This window comes from Homo sapiens, chromosome 6, assembly GCF_000001405.40.
Source record: "Homo sapiens chromosome 6, GRCh38.p14 Primary Assembly".
In the NCBI taxonomy this organism is placed as follows: domain Eukaryota; kingdom Metazoa; phylum Chordata; class Mammalia; order Primates; family Hominidae; genus Homo; species Homo sapiens.
This window is the reverse complement of record NC_000006.12, coordinates 41680515-41699788: the sequence shown is the minus strand read 5'-3', so window position 1 is coordinate 41699788 and position 19274 is coordinate 41680515. Positions and strand designations below refer to the sequence as shown.

Here is a 19274-nt window from a genome sequence, read left to right as displayed (position 1 = left end):
TGATATCAAGGACCTTTCAATCAAACAGTGCACACTTACCAGGTGTCCTGGGTTTGCTATGTTTCTGTATCGGAAGTTGCCAGCTAATATAATAAAAGGCTATATTATGAAGTATCTCCAGTGTGCCAGGAACTGTGGTAAACACTCCGACTACTTATCCCTTAGAACCCAAAGGAGTGGACATTGTTATTGCTCACCTGCCTCTCTCATCTCCTGCAGTGAATGACATGATATACAAGCTCTGGAAAAGAAAATCTTAAAAGACCCAAGGCTTTTGGAGAGGAAACAGAGGGCTCCTGGTAATAGGAAAAGCTGGCCTGAGGCCTTCCTGCCCCTATCTAGTAAGGAGAGACTGAAGCTGGGGTTACCACTAGGCTGCTCTGCCCCAGTCTGGGCTTTCAGATGGTGTGTATGTGTGTATGTGTGAATGAATGGGTGAATGGATGGGACACTTTCCCCAAAGGAACTTATGCAGGGATGCCCCCAGTGGGCCTGGACGGAGCAACACTGAACAGTGACCAGAATGGTGACACCTCCCCTCTGCCCACAAATTCACACCTGCAAGACAACTTACACACCCAGCCTCCTCACTTAGAGCACAACTGCTATGAGGTAGACGTGGCCCCAGCTGGCAAGCCCTGCTTGACTGATGGGGAGACTGAGGCCATACCCAGACAATTGAGTCCAGCCCAAGGCTAAGACTTGAACCCAAGCACTTGGCCTTTCCCACAGCATCATATGGGCAGGACTGCTGGCTCCTGGGAGTCGTAGGATACCTTTCCACCCCTCACTCTGTTTGGGTCTGGGCCATCTGATGCCCCCTCCCCAGGCCCTACAGTGACTCATGACCACCTCCGTAATGTGGAATGGCTTTGTCCATGAGGATTATGTGATGTCCTTGTTCTGTTTCCTAGTTCATCAGGACTTCCTCTGCTGCCTCCTCTGCCAGAGGGGGCTGAGAAAAATCCCAAGTTTGGTATTTTTTTCTCTCTTCCCTTCCCTAGGCTGAAAGGTTCCTAGGAGGCCACAAAGCCCTTCCTTTGCCTCCAGGAATCTCGAACCTGTTCAGGAAGCTTTTGTTTAGCGGTCAGTTTCTTTCCCCAGGACTGACCGGGCAGCTCCCCCACGACTGAGAGTGTAACAGACTGAATCAGAAGAAAACTTCTTCCGACCACAGAGGTGCAGAGCGTCATCAATGGCTTAAACAGGCCTCCCAGCCTCTGGGCTTGCACACTTTGTTGTTTCAGCCGCCAGACATATGTTTTTCTGGGAATACAGGAAATTATCTCTGCTCTTTGAGGAAGGGTAGAATTTTTTTTTCTGCCTGTGTTTGGGGATTCCAGACTGTTCCATCATCCCGGACACCCTCTGGCTCCTGGGCTGGATGAACGAGATCAGCCGCTGAAACTCTTTGATCGCAGGGAGGCTTCTTCAGTGAGAATTTCTAAAACAAAACGTGGCCGCCCTCACCCTGAATGCAGGACTGAGGCCAAACTCCCAGCCCCAGGGTTGGGGCGGTGCAGCCAGACTGCCAGGGTCCAGCCTTGCCACTCATTAGCTCTGTGACCTTCAGCAAGTGACCACCTCTCTGGGCCTGTGTTTCCTCATTCCTTGAATGGGGACAATAATGGTACCCACGTCACTCATATCATGAAATAATTATGATAATTACATAAGGTGCTTTGAACAGTACCTAGCACACAGTAAGCATTCTATGAGCATTAGCTGTTAGCATAAAATATTTTTTTTTCAATTAGAAAGATATACATCTTCATTCTAGAGAAAGAATAACATTCCAAAAGGCTTTTAAAACCACACAAAATACTTATGGTTACATCATCCAAAGAAGTCAGTAATAATTTTGTATATTTCCTCCCAAGAGGTTTTTCTATACATATTTTTACATTGTGATGATCAGATTTTATATACAATTTCCCCCTACATCCTACATTTTGTCACCTGACATATCCTCATGTTATTTATTGTAAGTATAGCAGTCCATCAGGAGGGACACACCGTAATTTATTTAACTATCCTATAACTGGACATTGAGGTTAGTTTTGACTTTTTTCCATATAATGTGAAGTGCATCTTTATGCACAACATCCTTTTCTGCATCTATGATTACTTCCTTGGACTGGTGAATATTTTTCAAGGCTTTGACATATATTGCCAAATTGCTTTTCCAAAGAGGTTGTACCAAGGTATGCTCTGGCAGTTGTGTTGAAGGTGCCTGGTACCAAAGGCATTTTAAAGTCATAGACACACTTGGGGAAGGGGGGGGGTTTGGAGAAGGGGTGGTGTTGGTGAAGGTAGTTTCCCTAACTCTTCTTTTAAACTATTTAACGTCTGCCCTCATTCTTTTTTTTTTTTTTTTTTTGAGATGGAGTTTCACTCTTGTTGCCCAGGCTGGAGTGCAATGGTGTGATCTCAGTTCACTGCAACCTCTGCCTCCCGGGTTCAAGCAATTCTCCTGCCTCAGCCTCCCAAGCAGCTGGGCCTACAGGCATGTGCCACCACACCTGGCTAATTTTTGTATTTTTAGTAGAGACAGGGTTTCACCGTGTTGCCCAGGCTGGTCTTGAACTCCTGACCTCAAGTGATCTGGCTGCCTCGGCCTGCCAAAGTGCTGGGATTACAGGCGTGAGCCACCATGCCAGGCTGGTCTGCCCTCATTCTTATGTGATTTTAAAATGAGAATACAACACACATACAGAAAATTATAAGTTGTAAGGGAGCAGCTGTACAAATTATTGTAAATATGACACTCTCATGGCACCAACACCCATATCAAATTACAAAACTTTCCTAATCCTCTTACCCACCAAGCCATCTTGTGTCCCCTCCCAGACACTCCCCCAAGGGTAATTAGGATCCTGAGTTCTAACATAGTAGATTAATGTTGCGTTTTTTTGAACTCATATACGCAGAGCATGCTGTATACACTTTTGTGCCTTGGTTCTTTCGTTAACATTATGTCTGCGAGAGTCATCTATGTCATGTGTAACAACAGTGCATTTGCTGTCATTGCTTTGTAGCATTTGATTGTATGGATGTACCACCACTTCAATTTATTTTATTTATTTATTTTTTTTGAGATGGAGTCTCACTCTGTCACCCAGGCTAGAGTGCAGTGGCATGATCTCGGCTCACTGCAACCTCTGCCTCCCGGGTTCAAGCGATTCTTCTGTCTCAGCCTCCCGAGTAGCTGGGACTACAGGTGCACACCACCACGCCCGGCTAATTTTTGTATTTTTTAATAGAGATGGGGTTTCACCACGTTGGCCAGGCTGGCTTCGAACTCCTGACCTCAAGTGATCTGCCCGCCTCAGCCTCCCAAAGTGCTGGGATTACAGGTGTGAACCACCATGCCTGGCCCACCACTTCTTTATCTATCTTTCTTTAGTGGACATTTGGGTGGTTTCCAGTTTTGGTTCCTATACACGCAAACATTCTAGTATATGTGCTTTGGTGAACACGTGGATGCTTTTCTGGTGGGCATGCATAGGAGGGGGTCCATGGGTCATGGAGTGTGTTTTCAGCTTCCTGCTCCAAGTTTTAAAGGATCATTTAGAGGGCAGAAAAATCCCCAAGGCAGTTCAGGCCTCACAAGCCACTGAATGGACTGGCGTCAGCTGACAATAGTTTGAGGGCACTGCATGAAGATGGTACTCCCCTCAGAAGCCCTTGTCTGGGGCTGTGGTAGAAACTGAGTGGGGCCCTGGCCCTCCAGCTCCAAATGCTTGGTGGCTGCTGGCCCTGGCTCTGTGCCTCTGCTGGCCACTCGGTGTCCTCACCCAGGGACCGCGGCTGGCCTAATGACCACTGCACCGAGCAGGGCAGGGCTTGGGCCAGCCCAGGTGGAGCTGGGGGGATTCCTTCCCCTTGGCGACCCACCTTTGGACATGACTGGAAGCCCTGGAAGCAGGTTGGGCCCCCCCATAAACCCCCAGAAGCTGCTGTGCTTCCTTTCTCCTGTTAACAGAATCACACAAGTCGCACATATTCCCACTGTAAGAGCTGAGTGCTTCTCCAGTGGAACGAAGAACTATAAAAATCCCTCTTTATCCCTCCCCCTCCATTGCCCCTTCCCACTCCCCTCCCCAGCGGTAACAACTCTGAACAGTTTGGGGTGCTGGGAGAGCCCAGAATAGTAGTTAAAGAGTGGGGGCTGTGAGCCAGCCTGCCTGGATCAAATCTCCATTCTGCTACTTAATCAGCTGTGTAACCTTGAGTGAGTTCCTTCACCTCTCTGTGCCTCTGTTTCCTCCAGGAAAAATGGGGATAATACTAGTACTCAGCTCATTGGGTTGTTGGGAAGAAAAAACAGAATTAACATTAGGAAAAGCACATTGACCAGCCCTGACCCATGGCAATCATTCACGAAGCATTTAGCGGTTGGTACTCTGATCTTCCTGTTGTCTACACATATACCATTTCATGATTCATGGGCTGGTTCATACTAAGGTGTAAATGACTGACAGGCAAGGCCCACACACAGACTGGATGAAACCAGCTCTGGCCTGACCAGAGGAGACCGGGATCCCTGGTTATGAAGCGACTGCCACACACTTACCTTGAATCCCCCCAATGGCCCCAAAAGGCAGGTGCTGTGATTAGCAGGTGCTGCGTTTTAGAGAGGAAGACAGCCTAGCACAGAGAGGTGAAGTAGCTTTCTGAAGTCGCCTAGCCAGTAGGGGCAGTGAGCCTGTGGGATTACAGAACTCATTTTGGACATGACTAAGCTGGAACCCAGTCTGGGCTTTGAGGCAGAGTCAGCTGAGAGGCTGTGGGTGGACAGCAGCAGGAGGCAGCTGGAGGGTCCTGGGGGTGTTGATGGGGGCAGCCATGTGATTGGGGAGAGGCAGGGATTCTCTGGGGGCATCAAACCCTTCCTCTCAGGAGGAGGGTGTTACCTGGGAGGGGCAGGGGAGAAGGCTCTCCAGGGAAGTGCCCCATCCCTGGTGTCTACATGCAGTAGGCACTCCAGGCCCCCAGTGTTACTGAACCTGTACACAGTGGACCCTTTCCAGGCATGGTGGGTCTGAAGGGCCAGATGGTGGGAGGGGCCAGGGACATTTTGGTTCTCCCATGTCCATCCTCTTAGTTCTTCCTGGCTAGACTGGGTGTCAGGGGAGGCTGAGAGTGGACCCTCAGGATTTTAGAGTGAGTAGGCATGCTTGGAGGCTAAGGATGGGGGGATTAGCATGTCCTGGACCACCCCCATCGCTCTCTGATCCCCTCAGGTCCCTCCCTTACCCCATACCCATCCCACCTACACCACACTCAGCAACCCAGGCTGGCGACCAGGGCCAGGGGAGAGGGCTGGAGCTTCACTGGAGGACAAGCTTTGTGGGTGTGACAGCTCCAGCGGTGGGGTTGGGGAGCCTCACTACCCTGCCAGCCTCTGTCAGGGGACAGTAGCTGAGGCTACTGACACCCACTGATGCACAGACACCTCACTGTGTCCACTTCTCCAACGTCCTCTCCCAGGAGGCTCACCCAGATTCTGGCAGGGGGCGGTGGGGCAGGGATTCCCAAGTCCATTGTGCAGATGAGAGAACTGAGGCTGGCCCAGCCAGTGAGAGGCAGGGTCCAGCCCAGGCTCTCCTCATAGCAAAGCCAGCTCCAGTCCACGCGAGGCCAGGCCAGACGCTCAGCTCTTTGTCAGAGAAACAAGGGGATCATTCTCCCCTAGCCCTCCCTGTGCCGGCTGGCACTGCCAGGCCCGGTGCCCACACCCCCACCAGGGCCAACTGAAGTCAGATTGTCCCCAAGGGTGGGGGGGTGAGCCAGTGCCGTGTGGGTGGGTGTGTAGAGGGTACAGCTGCGAGGGGGTGGGTTGGGCTGGGGTCAGAGCCTATGAGGTCTGTAGGGCTAGTGTGCGTGTGGTGGGCAGTGGGGGTACAAAGACAGGGATAACCCTCTGTAGCAGCATAGGAAGGGGGTGGGCAAAGGCATGGGTGGAGGCTGCAGCTGTGTTCCTGCTGCAGGATGGGAAGGGAGTGGTGGGCATCTGCTCCTTTCTTTCTGGGGACTGCCCCGTTGGTAGCTGGGTGGAGAGACCCAAGGAGCTGAGACAGCCCCTTTACTGATTCATGGTGTAGAGGGGCAGAGAAGGAAGGAGGGTGGGGTGAGGGCCACTGCCTGCCTTCCTACCTTGTCGGGAAGGCACAGTGGTGGTGGGAGGAGCCCTGGCTGGCAGTCAGGTGGCATGGGCTCCATTCCTGGGCCTGGCAGCCAGGCAGCCTGCAATAAGCTTCCTCCCTGCTCTGTGTGGAGACCCTCTCCTCCCCAGCATGGGCTCAGAGGCCATGCTGCCTGGGGCTGGGTTCCAGCTCTGTCCCTTTCACTGCTGAAAGACACTTAATCTCCTGTGCTTCTGTTTCTCCTTATCTATAAAAGGAGAGTAATATGCAGAACTACTTCATAGGGCTCTTCCAGGTGAAGGAGTCTGGAACATTGCCTGACATACAGTAAATGCTCAAATAAATTCAAGTTATTATTATTTCTATTATCTGGTGATTTTCACTGAATATTTGCCAGTTCTTTTTGCTAATGCTGACTAAGTCCAGTGTCTGGTATTAGCCAGAACATGTCAGCCTTTGCTGCTTCCCTTTGCTATCCCCTGAGGTCTGGGCCTCATTGTTAGGAGCTTGAGACACAGCTCTGGCTTCTGGTCCACACTGATCAGTTCGCCTGCCAGTCATGTGCCCATCCATGTCTCATGCACTCAGCCTCCCAGGTGCTACATACTGTGCAAGACCTATTAATTTCATATAGTGCTCCAATCTTCTGAAGCAGAGACCGTTTACTAATGAGAAATTGACTCTCAGAGAGGTTAAGTGACTTGCCCAAGGTCACACAGCAAAGAAGTGGCAGAACTAGGATTCAAGCCCATATTTTCTCAGTTCAAAAGTCCTTGCTCAACCACAAAGTCATACTGCCTCTTGCAATATCCCCAAGATGGGACCCTCCAGCCCCTACCAGGACCTTCATGGGGTCTGGACACACTCAGGAGCCCTGCACCTCTCAGAGTCTCAGCCTGTCTCAGCTGGGGAGGACCTTAGAAATTACTGGGTCCAACCCTTTCATTTTGTGCATGGAGAGATGGAGGCTCAGAGGGGGAGGGGACTTACCCAGGGTCACTTACCTAGGGTCAGTCAATGAGCTAGGGACAGAGTGGGCCAAGCTGTAGGACTCATTCTTCCCTGTCTTTCCTTCCAGACTGGGCTGGGGGGCTTAAGTCACACCTGTCCCACTGAGACCTGTAGGAGATTAGGGCTGATGTGCTGGTGGGAAGTCCTCTCTGGGCTCTGGCAGTGCCAGGTGCCTGGAAGTGGCCCTCCCCATACAGGCCCTCCTAAGCCTGTGGACTTGCCCTTCTCTTTATTACACTGTAGGCTCCATGAGCTCAGGAACTGCAGTTGTATCCCCATTGCCTGGCTCACAAATAAGATACATTTCTTCACACATGCATTCAGCATATGCCATGTCCCAGGTCCTGAGCCAGAGTCCCATGGTATAGCAGTGAAAAAGACAGAAAATGCCTGCCCTCAGGGAAGTTTGCATTCCCAGTAAGAAAGAGACAGACAATGAATGAAATAGCTAGGCAAAAATGCATTGTATTTAAGATGGTGATAAGTGATATGGAGGAAAATAAAAACAAAAGGGAAGGGGCATAGGAAGTGGTGGTGGAGGGCTTTGTAATTTTAATAGGGTGGTCCTAGAAGGTCTCTGTAAGGTAACATTTGAGCCTTGGAGGAGGTGAAGGAGTGAGCCATGATGTCATCTGGGGGGAGAGCATTCCAGGCAGAGGGAACAGCAAGTGCAAAGGTCCTGAGGTGGGGGCATGCCTGGGATGTTTCGGGGATTTCAAAGTGCCTGGAGGATGTAGCCGGAGCAGATAAAACAAGAGGGAGAGCTGGCGGATGGGGTCAAAGGGGAACACGAGGTGGGCCAGATCCTAGGGGGCCTTTCCAGTCATGGTAAGGACTTTAGCTTTTCCCCTGAGGAAGGTGGGAACCATGGGGAGTTGTGAGCAGAGGGGAAGACAGGATCTGACTTAGGATTTAACAGGAGTTAAATGAGTTGCTCTACTGAGTTGCCAGTAGAACGTCCTAGGGCAAGCCAGAGGAGGCAGTCTGAACACTGGGCTACTCCTGCGGGATTCCAGGTAAGACCCAGGATAGGCTGGGCCCACCTTGTGGCAGCAAAGGAGGGTGGATATGAGGTCGGATCTAACAGGATCAGGATGTGGGCGTGACACAGAGAGGAGTGGAAGTTGACTCTTAGAGTTTGGGATTTACCAACTGCAATGAGTGAAGAAGACAGAACCTTCAGTTTTGGTCCAGGAACCAGGAAACTTGGATTCATGTCTCAGCTGTCACCCGCTTGCTCAGTGACCTTGGGCAAATCTCTTCCCCTCTCAGGGCTCGGTGTCTTCTCCTCTAAAATGGATGCGGTCCCAGTCATTCTGGCCTCCCCCTGCCAGCCCCTGTGCTTTGAGGAGGACACGTGCCTCATATACCTGCTGCCCCTTCTCATCCACAGGGAGCCAGCGCCGGCAGCCACCATGGCGTCACGCATAGGGTTGCGCATGCAGCTCATGCGGGAGCAGGCGCAGCAGGAGGAGCAGCGGGAGCGCATGCAGCAACAGGCTGTCATGCATTACATGCAGCAGCAGCAGCAGCAGCAACAGCAGCAGCTCGGAGGGCCGCCCACCCCGGCCATCAATACCCCCGTCCACTTCCAGTCGCCACCACCTGTGCCTGGGGAGGTGTTGAAGGTAGGGCCTGTTCTGGCCTGCCCCCCACCCTGTCCCCACTAGTCCCAGCCTCCCCTAGAGCCCTTGCCTTTTCCCCCTCCCAGGTGCAGTCCTACCTGGAGAATCCCACATCCTACCATCTGCAGCAGTCGCAGCATCAGAAGGTGCGGGAGTACCTGTCCGAGACCTATGGGAACAAGTTTGCTGCCCACATCAGCCCAGCCCAGGGCTCTCCGAAACCCCCACCAGCCGCCTCCCCAGGGGTGCGAGCTGGACACGTGCTGTCCTCCTCCGCTGGCAACAGTGCTCCCAATAGCCCCATGGCCATGCTGCACATTGGCTCCAACCCTGAGAGGGAGGTGAGTGAGGAGCTGGCCAGTGGCCATGCTGCTTGCAGAGCTCGTGCCCACTGCTGTGCTTCTGAGACTCCCAGTCTAATGGCAGAGGCAGGGGTGCCTTCAGGGAGACTCAGTCTGAGGTGGGGACAGAGCCCTTCTCAGGGAGCCCCAATCTCAGGGGGGAAGACACAGCCCTGCCCTCAGGGAGCCTCACAGAGGAAACGCCATCCTTACTTTCAAAAGCTCTGCTAGGAAGTCAGGTGCCGTGGCTCACGCCTGTAATCCCAGCACTTTGGAAGGCTGAGGCAGCCAGATCACTTGAGGTCAGGAGTTTGAGAACAGCCTGGCCAACATAGTGAAACCCTATCTCTACTAAAATACAAAAATTAGCTGGGCGTGGTGGTGCACGCCTGTAATCCCAGCTACTTGGGAGGCTGAGGCAGGAGAATCACTTGAATCGGGAAGGCGGAAGTTGCAGTGAGCTGAGATCGAGCCACTGCACTTCAGCCTGGGCGACAGAGTGAGACTCCTTCTCGAAAAAAAAAAAAGAAAAAAGAAAAAAGAAAGCTCTGCTAGGGAGAAACAGAAGACTTATCCAGGAAAGCCCAGCACACTCCCCAAGCCAGAGACAGAAGTGAGATCAAGGAAGCTCCCTGGGCAGGTAGGCTCCTTGGCAAGAACCGTAGCTTCATGTTGGGCCAGTGGGACCTGGACAGCTCATCTCTTCTCTGGGCCTATTTCCTCTTTCCCCAGATAAGTAGGTTGGGTGAGGTGGGCTCCAAGGTCCCTCCAGGTCAGTGGTTGTCCCAATGCCTCTTTCCCCTGCCCACCTCGTGGTGGGCCCTCCCCAGATGGACTTTTCTCTTTTCCAGTTGGATGATGTCATTGACAACATTATGCGTCTGGACGATGTCCTTGGCTACATCAATCCTGAAATGCAGATGCCCAACACGGTACTCCTGGCTAGGGTGGGGTGGGTGTGCAAGGGTTCTAGGGAGGGGGGCACCCACTGTGGCTCTGAGCCTGGAGAGAGTGGAGACAGGGTTCTCACTGGGCAGAGCTGGCATGTTTCTGTAGAGATGAGTCATTTTCATTAAATAATGTGACAAAGGCCGGGGCCAAGAGGAATTATGAAGCAAGAAGGATGTGCCTCAGCCTCTGTGCACCATGGGGCTTCAGAGGGGAGAAGGGGCTGGGGACACGGAGTGGGCCTGTGGGGGGAGCTTTCCAGGTTGGCGAAGGGGCAGAGGGAGGCAGGGAGAGCACTGCATGGGTGGAGGGGCAGTGTGTCTATGGGAAGGTGTGGAACTAATGAGCTCCTTTGGGGACCTGGGCCTCCCCTCCTTTACCAAACCCAGGGCCCAACAGGCAAAAGCCTGTCTGTGTCTCTTACTCCATGGGGCAAGTGATCTGGGGCTGGCCTTGTCCCCAACCACAGGAACACTCCCTCTGGCAGCTTCCTGCGTCTCCTGGCAGAGGTGGGGTAGCAGGTGGGGAGGTGCTGGGCTTGGAGTCAAGAAGCCTGGCTTCTGGCTTTTGCTGTGACCTTAGGAAATCCCTCAAGCATACTAAACCCCAGTTTTCTCAGCTGCAAAATGGGGGTGATGCTCTCTACCCACAGGATTGTGGGAAGATTAGATGAGGGAAGAAATTGAGGGCAAGCTCTCTACAAAGGTGGCAGGTGTGTACGCTGGGCAGGTGGGATTGCCAGCGCCCCTTCCACCCACTTTTCTTTGGAGCTCCTGAACCTCAGCTACTTACTCCTGCCTTTGGGCATGAGCCTTTCACCCTGATCCTGGCCCCAGCCCATGCCACCAAGGGAAAGTCCCCAGTTCCTGTGGTGGGGAGTCAATCCTCTGTCCCCACTGCCCTGGTGACATCGCTGAGTGGCTTAGTAGGAGCTGGCCGGGACTGGTTGGGTCCAAACCTACAGCTAGCAGGGGCAGCGAGGGCTGAGGAGGGAGGGAGGATGCAAGTGATTGGTCCCTTTAGTAGTTCCTGTGTACACTGTGGGGTGTCTGGGCCTGTGATTTGTTCTGCATGTTTCTGTGGCAGATCTTTCCAGAGCTCAGATCTCTCCCTGTCAGACTCCTGCTTCAACTTCCCTTGGCTGCCCATTCCAAAATTCCAGTATCTTTGCAAGTCAAACACTGTACTGGGGATCCAGATACATCTGCCCTGCCTACAGCACCTCCACCCCCACCACTTCTGCCCTTGAGCTGCTGGAATTGTGCTCTGCCAAGCTGCCCTGTCTGCTTGTGCCCTGGTGGCTGCCCGGAGTGCCTTGCCTCACATCTCTGCTCAAGACTCAGAGTTCCACACCCTCCAGGAAACCGTCCAGAAACTCTAGAATTGATTAGATGACCTGCTCTAGGGCTTCCATAATGCCTGGGGCCTAATCCTATCACATATTATTGGTTGGATCACTCTCTCAGACACTCTAGGCCAGGGGCTCCTTGAGGGCAGGGACTACATCTTATAATAGCTCTGGACTCTGCAGACCTTCAGGTTGAATTGCTGGGTGAAAGGGCCCAAGGTGAATTTTGACACTCCAGGTGTCCCCAGGAAGGACTGCTCCTGGGATGATAGGCCCTAGAGGGGGCTCCCCGTGGAGAGGGGGATACTCATGGGTCTCCCTCACCCCCTACCCCACAGCTACCCCTGTCCAGCAGCCACCTGAATGTGTACAGCAGCGACCCCCAGGTCACAGCCTCCCTGGTGGGCGTCACCAGCAGCTCCTGCCCTGCGGACCTGACCCAGAAGCGAGAGCTCACAGGTACTGCCTCCCTCTACCCCTGTGCCTTTGAATACCCGACTCCTCCCTCCTTTTCTCCCTCCCTCCCAGCTCCTCTCTCCTTCTCTTTTGGCCTCCAGATGCTGAGAGCAGGGCCCTGGCCAAGGAGCGGCAGAAGAAAGACAATCACAACTTAAGTGAGTCCTGCCCCGCCCCTCTCCCTGCCTCCCTCTTCCTTGTTCTCACCTGGGCTGGCTAAAAAGCCACTCCCTGACCTGCACTGGTGGAAGGCTTCCCTGCTCAAGGCCAATTCACTTGCAGATGGCTTAAGCCCTCCCATTGCTGTCGCTCAGTGGTGCCTGGGACTATTAGTGCTGTCTTTCCACTAGGCCTCTTTAGGAGTGGGTAGGAAGGATTCCTGTAAGGGATATTCATGAAACCCCCAGTTTATCAGGTTGTTTTCTGGGTTAAGGCATGGAACCTGGGGCATCAGAGTTCTGTGTAGCAGGGAAGAGTCCTACCCCAGGCAGCTTTGCTGTGCTACGAGCATCACCATGGCTGATTCTACCTTTCAGTGCTCTTAATTGTGTCTGGCCTTTGCCCTGGACCCCCTAATTCCTGTAGAAATCCCAATCTGTTGGTCACCTCTTACTTCCTGGAAGAACTAAATCTAAGCTGCAGGCTGCCCTGAAGCACCCCTCCCTGGGCTGGGTACTTCTCCCCATGGGGTGGGGGGTCCCCATCCCTCTAATTGCTCCTTCTGGAATCTGTTACCTTTAGTTGAAAGGAGACGAAGGTTCAACATCAATGACCGCATCAAGGAGTTGGGAATGCTGATCCCCAAGGCCAATGACCTGTGAGCAGGTTTCTGAGGGGGAGGGTGATGGGTCTGGGTGGGCAGCAGCTGACAAGTATTATCTGCCCTCAGCCCCATGCTAGTTACTAGGATGGGAGGAGAATTCCTTCTAGAAGTTCATCTATTTGAGAAAAGATCTCTCCCTCTCCCAAATCAGGAAAGAATCAGGAAAGCTCAAGACAGATGAGTTTCTGTCCTGGAAGTGAGGCTGAGGTCAAGGGAGGCTTCTTGGAGGAGCAGTCATGCTGAGAAAGTTTTCTTAAGGCCATTGGGCTGGCAGACAAGAGGCCGGGCTCACGCCTATAATCCCAGCACTGTGGGAAGCTGAGGCAGGCAGATCACTTGAGGTCATGAGTTCAAGACCAGCCTGGCCAACATGGCGAAACCCCATCTCTACTAAAAATACAAAACTTAGCTGGGCACAGTGGTGTGTGCCTACAGTGCCAGCTACTAGGGAGGCTGAGACAGGAGAATTGATTGAACTCAGGAGGTGGAGGTAGCAGTGAGCCGAGATCTCGCTACTGCACTGCATTCCAGCCTGGGCAACAGAACGAGACTCCATCTCAAAAAAAAAAAAAAAAAAAAGAAAGGTAGGCTGGGCTGGAGTCTTGGTAGTCTGGGAAGGAGGCTGCTCTGAATTGCCTGGTTTCATGAGATTAATGAAGTGGGCAGTGGCAACAGAAGTCACCAGGAGGGCCCATTCTGTGCAAACTGAGATCAGCCACCTCCACCTCCAGGTCTGGGGTTGCTGGGTAAGACTGGGACAGGCCACATAAGCTCTGCAACCAGAGCAGTAGCAAGGATTTGGCCACTCTTCTGAGCATGCACCTCTAATTTGCCTGGCCTGCTGCTGCAGGGACGTGCGCTGGAACAAGGGCACCATCCTCAAGGCCTCTGTGGATTACATCCGGAGGATGCAGAAGGACCTGCAAAAGTCCAGGGAGCTGGAGAACCACTCTCGCCGCCTGGAGATGACCAACAAGCAGCTCTGGCTCCGTATCCAGGTCTGGTCCTGAACTTGGACTTCTTTGGTAACTCTGACCCTTAACCTGGCTCCTGGCCCTAAGGGGCAGTACTTGTACTTCTGAAGTTGGAGACACAGGAATAATGCCCATTAGGAAGGAGGATGTATCAGTTAGGATGTTTTGCTTTGGTAACAAACAATCCTCAGCATCTTTAAGCAACACATATCAGCTGGAGGTTCTGTTCTGTGAGACCCTCATTCTGGCACCCACGCTGCTGGCACCCAGCTCTCTGATGGCACATCTAGAGCTGGCTCTTAAAGCCATTGTCACTCTTAAGGTGCCACATGTCACTTCTGTTCAATGGGCTTGGCCAATGCAAGCACACTCTACAAGTACTCTAACCTCAAGAGGCAGGAAAATGCAAACCTATCATGTGCCTGGAAGGTAGAGAGCTGGAATCATTTGGTGGGTGGCACTAGGAATCTCCACAGGGCCAACCTAAAGAACCAGGAGCTTGGCAGAGTCAGCCCTACCAGCTGGAACTGAGAGTTCTAGTCCTGGCTCTGAGTTGAGGGCCTCTTGTCCTCTTTAGACCTGAGGCTGGCCCTTTACACAAAGGGCAATTGGACTGCACCTTGTTTCTCTTTCTTATGGTAGATGACACAATTTACATTAAAATCTAGCACACACAGGCACAAAGTGAAAAATCAGTTTCATGAAGTAACGCTCCCCTCGTCCTTAATAGATGCAATGCATTCTAATAATTTCTATTCTAGTCTAGTCTAGACAAGTCAATTTCAATTAAAAAAATAGAAAGCTGGTCAAGACTCACTACGGTGGCTTCACAACCCACTAATGAGTTACGACTTGTAGTCTGAAAAAACACTGGTCTAGACTCTAGAGCTACCCTATGCTTTCTTCCAGCGGAAACACTTTGGGTCTTGGGTGCCGTAGGGCAGGGGCAAGTGCTGTGATAGAGGCCCAGGGGAGGGGTCCTGGTGGCTGGTGCCCATAGGTGTGTTCCCCAGCCTTCTGTCTGCTCCCCTGCAGGAGCTGGAGATGCAGGCTCGAGTGCACGGCCTCCCTACCACCTCCCCGTCCGGCATGAACATGGCTGAGCTGGCCCAGCAGGTGGTGAAGCAGGAGCTGCCTAGCGAAGAGGGCCCAGGGGAGGCCCTGATGCTGGGGGCTGAGGTCCCTGACCCTGAGCCACTGCCAGCTCTGCCCCCGCAAGCCCCGCTGCCCCTGCCCACCCAGCCACCATCCCCATTCCATCACCTGGACTTCAGCCACAGCCTGAGCTTTGGGGGCAGGGAGGACGAGGGTCCCCCGGGCTACCCCGAACCCCTGGCGCCGGGGCATGGCTCCCCATTCCCCAGCCTGTCCAAGAAGGATCTGGACCTCATGCTCCTGGACGACTCACTGCTACCGCTGGCCTCTGATCCACTTCTGTCCACCATGTCCCCCGAGGCCTCCAAGGCCAGCAGCCGCCGGAGCAGCTTCAGCATGGAGGAGGGCGATGTGCTGTGACCCTGGCTGCCCCTGTGCCAGGGAACAGGGGCCGGCCTGGGGGCTGGGAGGGCCAGGGGCACCTCCCTCCCACCCTTCAGGCTGCACTGTGTGTGAAGTAGCCACCTGCCCTGCCTCCCTCCTCCCCGTTGGCCCCTGTTTGGACTTAGTGCCTGTCTGGCAGCCTGTGGGGTCAGGAGAAGCACCCCCAGGGCAGCCCTCTTGACTGGCGCAGTGGGAAGAGGCCTTCAGCCCCTCTCCCGGAGATGGAATCGCGGGGCAGGGAGGGGCAGGGTGTTCTAGAGGTGAGAAGAGGGCCTGGTGGAGATTCCCTGTCTTCTGAGCCCGAGCCCCTCATTACCAGTGAAGGACATGCTTGAGGGGTTCGGGAAGCTCCTCATCTGAGGCAACTGGTCCTGGGGGTGCTCAGGCCTGCCTTTTTGGGACTCAGATGGCAGGAGGTCCACCCCGCAGCCTGGTCCTCGGCTCTCCCACAGGTGGGCACCCCCCACTTTGGTGCTAATAGCTCTCCACCAGGTGGTGTGAGCGCGGGGGCTGCCAGAAGCGGGAGGGGTCACTGCCGGAAGAGCAGCTGCCCTCCGACCCCTCACTTTGTGCCTTTAGTAAACACTGTGCTTTGTACTTGCTGGTCCTGTCTCTTTGGAGTGGGTCTAGGGCTGACAGCGAACGGGAGGATTCAACCCAGCGGGCCCCCTCCAGAGTGCGGATGCTGCCTGAAGGGAGTCGGGGTGGGGGGTACAGGGAAGAGGGAACACGCTTGTCACACGCCTCAGCCCTGCCCGGGGAAGACGAGGGGTTTGGGTGCTGAGGGGGGCACGGTCCCTCCTCACGGCCACGAGGTGGCGCTGCGGCCACGCCGGTTCCACACCTCCAGCGGCGGCCGGAGCGAGACTAGTTGATGTGGCGAGAGGGTTGCTCACAAACCAAGTGCGCCGCCCTTAGCTGCTTATTTGGGGCACCCTGGGCCCGGGGTGGGGGGCATGCTTCTTCTGTCCCACCCCTGTTCTGGGGGTGACCTCCCCAGGTGGGCGGCCACCCGGCTTGAGAAGCTGTAGCTGGGCGCTCTGGAGGCGGCGCTCGCGCTCTGTCTGCCAGACGGGCTTCCCGGTAACTGAGGGGCTGCGTCCTGCTAGGGCTCTGGGGAAAGGGACCCCCGTGAGCTAGACAGGGAGGAGATGGGAGTCCAGGACGGCGCGTGGGGTGTTATGGGCCCGGGTCCCCCCGCCCCGCTCTGGCTCTGGCAGCGAGGCCTGGGCGCGGCCTTTCCTCCGAGCTGCAGTCCTTGGGCCTCTGCTTGGAGACGTTGGTGTTTATGACCTCGCCTAGGAGGGGGACATGGGCTGGGGACAGTCAGGGTTCGACTGGCGGCTGCTCGAGCCCCGGTGCCTGGCGGGAACAGGGAGAGGGCTTTTCGGGCTTCATCCAGTTCCCCTCTGCTCTCCACGGCCGCTTCAGGCAGAGACCAAAATGGCTCCCCGTCATCGCCCTGAGAGGCTGAAGGGGCCTAATTTAAAAAAAAAAAAAAATCCCGGGATGAAAATGGCTAATAGGGCAATTTCCTCTGTGCCGAACGGGAGATCAAATCAACGTTGAGCAATTAGCGTGCGAGGGGAGAGAAGGAAAATGGGCCGGGCGGCTGGGCGCTGATGGTGGCCGGGCTGGCGCAGGCTGCAGGATTAATCTCAAGGTCAGATGGAGCCGGGGATGACCTTGTGGAGCCTGAGCCAGCCGGGGCGCTGGCGCCTCCTCCTAGTTCCAGGTTCCACCCCACCACCTGGGACTTACCCATGCCCTGGAAACCCCTCTGAGCCCCGTCTGGGTCAAGCCCTGAACTCTGTGAGACACCTGATTAACTAGGCTTGGCCTGCCTTGGCCGGGGGATGAAGGCTCCGGGAAGTCCCAAGGCCGGTCCTTCAGGCCCCTGAGAAGTCTCTCCCGACCCCACTGGCTCTTCCACTTCACCCTGGGGATTGACCTAGTGGAGTGGAGGGCTGCCCACCTGCTTCCTCTCACAGCCCTTCAAGATCACGGATAGCCCTTCCTGCCAGCAGATGTCTGCTAAAAAGAAATAAATATTTAAAACATTTTTAAAAAGGAAAAAAAAAAAAAAAGAAAAAGATCACTGATATCCCCGCCTCCACCTGCCTGCTGCTTTCCTGCCCCTGGGCTCCTTCAGCCTGGCCACTACCTCTGGCATTGGAGTATGGACTGCATATTCGACAGGACAGAGGGTGTGAGTGGGGTTCTGTCCACAAGAGGGTGCCCTGGGCCAGGACTAGGCAGCTGCCCGCCGCGGCTGGTGGGGGTGGGGGAGTCTCAGCTTCATTGTACATTCCAAGCTGTCTGCCTGGGTGGCTCCCATCCTGCCTGGGAGTCCTGCAGTCCTACCGATTTGGCTGAGGCCGGCCCAGGAACTACTTCCGGTATTTCAATAAGCCACCAGAAAGTGTTCCTGTTTCTGAGACCAGCCTGAAGGACCCTCACTTTGTGGCTGGAATGGAATCTGGCTGGTGATTATGAACGACTCTGATTCAATAAGAGGGCAATGCATCCTTCAGCAATATTTATTTGGTGGACAACACCTTTCCAAGTGTCAGGTCCATGGAGGAAATTCTTTTTTTTTTTTTTTTTTTTTTTTGAGATGAAGTCTCACTCTGTCTCCCAGACTACAATGCAGTAGCGCAATCTTGGCTCACTGCACCCTCTGCCTCCCGGGTTCAAGCGATTCTCCTGCCTCAGCCTCCTGAGTAGCTGGGACTACAGGCGCACACCACCACACCCAGCTAATTTTTTATTTTTAGTAGAGATGGGATTTCACCATGTTGGCCAGGCTGGTCTCAAACTCCTGACCTCAGCTGATCTGCCAGCCTCAACCTCCCAAAGTGCTGGGATTATAGGTGTGAGCCACCACACCCGGCCTTTTTTTTTTTTTGAGATGGAGTTTTGCTCTTGCTGCCCAGGCTGGAGTGCAATGGCATGATCTCAGCTCACTGCAACCTCCGCCTCCCAGGTTCAAGCAATTCTCCTGCCTCAGCCTCCTGAGTAGCTGGGATTACAGGTGCCTGCCACCACGCCCAGCTAATTATTTTGTATTTTTAGTAGAGATGGGGTTTCATCATGTTGGCCAGGCTGGTCTTGAACTCTTGACCTCACTCAGGTGATCTGCCCTCCTTGGCCTCCCAAAGTGCTGCGATTACAGGTGTAAGCCACCGTGCCCAGCCTGGAAATTCTTTTTTAAAAGGCAGAGTAGGGCCAGGTGTGGTGGCTTGCACTTGTAATGCCAGCTACTCAGGAGGCTGAGGCAGGAGGATTGCTTGAGGCCAGGAGTTTAAAACCAGCCTCGGCAACATAGCAAGACCCTTAACTCTATTTTTTTTTTTTTTAATTAGCCAAGCATGGTGGTGTACACATGTGGTCCTAGCTACTCAGGAGGCTGAAATGGGAGGACTGCTTGAGCCCAGAAGTTTGAGGCTGCAGTAAGCTATGATCATGCTATTGCATTCCAGCTTGGGCAATACAGCAAGACACTGTTTCTAAAAAATAAAAAGGCAGAGTAAGGACATTGGCTGGTGTGGACACAGGAGGGATGAGCCTGTCCAGCCCCTTCATTTTAGGGAGGCTTAGAGAACAAACAGACACGTACAGTGGGAGAGGAAGCAGAGAAAGAGGTCAAAGCTAAGAGGACGAGAAGCAGTAGCTCCCTTGGATCCATTGTGGGGCCCTCGGCAGGAGCCAGGCTGCTGGGGTAGCAGAGGTGGTGAGGGTGGAGGATGCAGACAGAGCCCCAGCCCCTGACCCTGCTGTCTTCAGCTCCAGTTCCTGCATCTGTCTATCCCCATCAGCTGCTCGGCCTGCGTTAGTACCTACCTCTTCAGCCTTAGGAAGTTCTGCATGTCCAACTGCATCTGCTGGGCGGCCGGCTCCACCATCTGTAGAACAGGGCCTGGGAGGCTAGAGTTGGAGTGGCAGCCGGGGAGGGGGTTGCAGGGCCTTGGAATGTGCTGCTTGGAATGCCATGTTTCCATTATCCATGGTTCCTTTAAAGCAGAGATTCTTCCTTTACTGTTTGACGCCATTAACTTAG

General features: G+C 53.9%; 1 protein-coding gene across 8 annotated transcripts in view, besides 7 other annotated features; it reads left to right on the top strand.

Annotated features, from left to right (window-relative positions):
- Window positions 1–15811, top strand: part of TFEB (transcription factor EB) — a 52246-nt gene extending 36435 nt beyond the window's left edge. For 7 of the 8 annotated variants that reach the window (NM_001167827.3, NM_001271944.2, NM_007162.3 and 4 more), the window contains 8 exons: window positions 8554–8788; window positions 8872–9126; window positions 9978–10058; window positions 11761–11881; window positions 11980–12036; window positions 12620–12695; window positions 13552–13699; window positions 14711–15811. In NM_001167827.3, coding sequence (NP_001161299.2) covers window positions 8554–8788; window positions 8872–9126; window positions 9978–10058; window positions 11761–11881; window positions 11980–12036; window positions 12620–12695; window positions 13552–13699; window positions 14711–15190 — 1453 coding nt within the window. In that variant the 3' untranslated portion in view covers window positions 15191–15811. The remainder of the gene's footprint in view (window positions 1–8553; window positions 8789–8871; window positions 9127–9977; window positions 10059–11760; window positions 11882–11979; window positions 12037–12619; window positions 12696–13551; window positions 13700–14710) is intronic. The other variant, NM_001271943.2, reaches the window with a different exon arrangement.
- Window positions 8663–9163: an enhancer, noted in NCBI's record as "H3K4me1 hESC enhancer chr6:41658364-41658864 (GRCh37/hg19 assembly coordinates)". NCBI's record gives its function as "activates a minimal SCP1, AML or CMV promoter by ChIP-STARR-seq in primed H9 embryonic stem cells {active_cell/tissue: H9 hESC(primed)}" and the evidence as "EXISTENCE:reporter gene assay evidence [ECO:0000049][PMID:30033119]".
- Window positions 11512–12378: an enhancer, noted in NCBI's record as "NANOG-H3K27ac-H3K4me1 hESC enhancer chr6:41655149-41656015 (GRCh37/hg19 assembly coordinates)". NCBI's record gives its function as "activates a minimal SCP1, AML or CMV promoter by ChIP-STARR-seq in primed H9 embryonic stem cells {active_cell/tissue: H9 hESC(primed)}" and the evidence as "EXISTENCE:reporter gene assay evidence [ECO:0000049][PMID:30033119]".
- Window positions 15882–16707: an enhancer, noted in NCBI's record as "H3K27ac-H3K4me1 hESC enhancer chr6:41650820-41651645 (GRCh37/hg19 assembly coordinates)". NCBI's record gives its function as "activates a minimal SCP1, AML or CMV promoter by ChIP-STARR-seq in primed H9 embryonic stem cells {active_cell/tissue: H9 hESC(primed)}" and the evidence as "EXISTENCE:reporter gene assay evidence [ECO:0000049][PMID:30033119]".
- Window positions 15964–16258: a silencer, noted in NCBI's record as "tiled region #13964; HepG2 Repressive non-DNase unmatched - State 4:PromP, and K562 Repressive DNase unmatched - State 4:PromP". NCBI's record gives its function as "represses a minimal TATA promoter and a strong SV40 promoter by Sharpr-MPRA in HepG2 and K562 cells {active_cell/tissue: HepG2 | K562}" and the evidence as "EXISTENCE:reporter gene assay evidence [ECO:0000049][PMID:27701403]".
- Window positions 16068–16247: an enhancer, noted in NCBI's record as "active region_24515". NCBI's record gives its function as "activates an Ori minimal core promoter by ATAC-STARR-seq in GM12878 lymphoblastoid cells {active_cell/tissue: GM12878}" and the evidence as "EXISTENCE:reporter gene assay evidence [ECO:0000049][PMID:35858748]".
- Window positions 16268–16347: an enhancer, noted in NCBI's record as "active region_24514". NCBI's record gives its function as "activates an Ori minimal core promoter by ATAC-STARR-seq in GM12878 lymphoblastoid cells {active_cell/tissue: GM12878}" and the evidence as "EXISTENCE:reporter gene assay evidence [ECO:0000049][PMID:35858748]".
- Window positions 16708–17534: an enhancer, noted in NCBI's record as "H3K27ac-H3K4me1 hESC enhancer chr6:41649993-41650819 (GRCh37/hg19 assembly coordinates)". NCBI's record gives its function as "activates a minimal SCP1, AML or CMV promoter by ChIP-STARR-seq in naive H9 embryonic stem cells {active_cell/tissue: H9 hESC(naive)}" and the evidence as "EXISTENCE:reporter gene assay evidence [ECO:0000049][PMID:30033119]".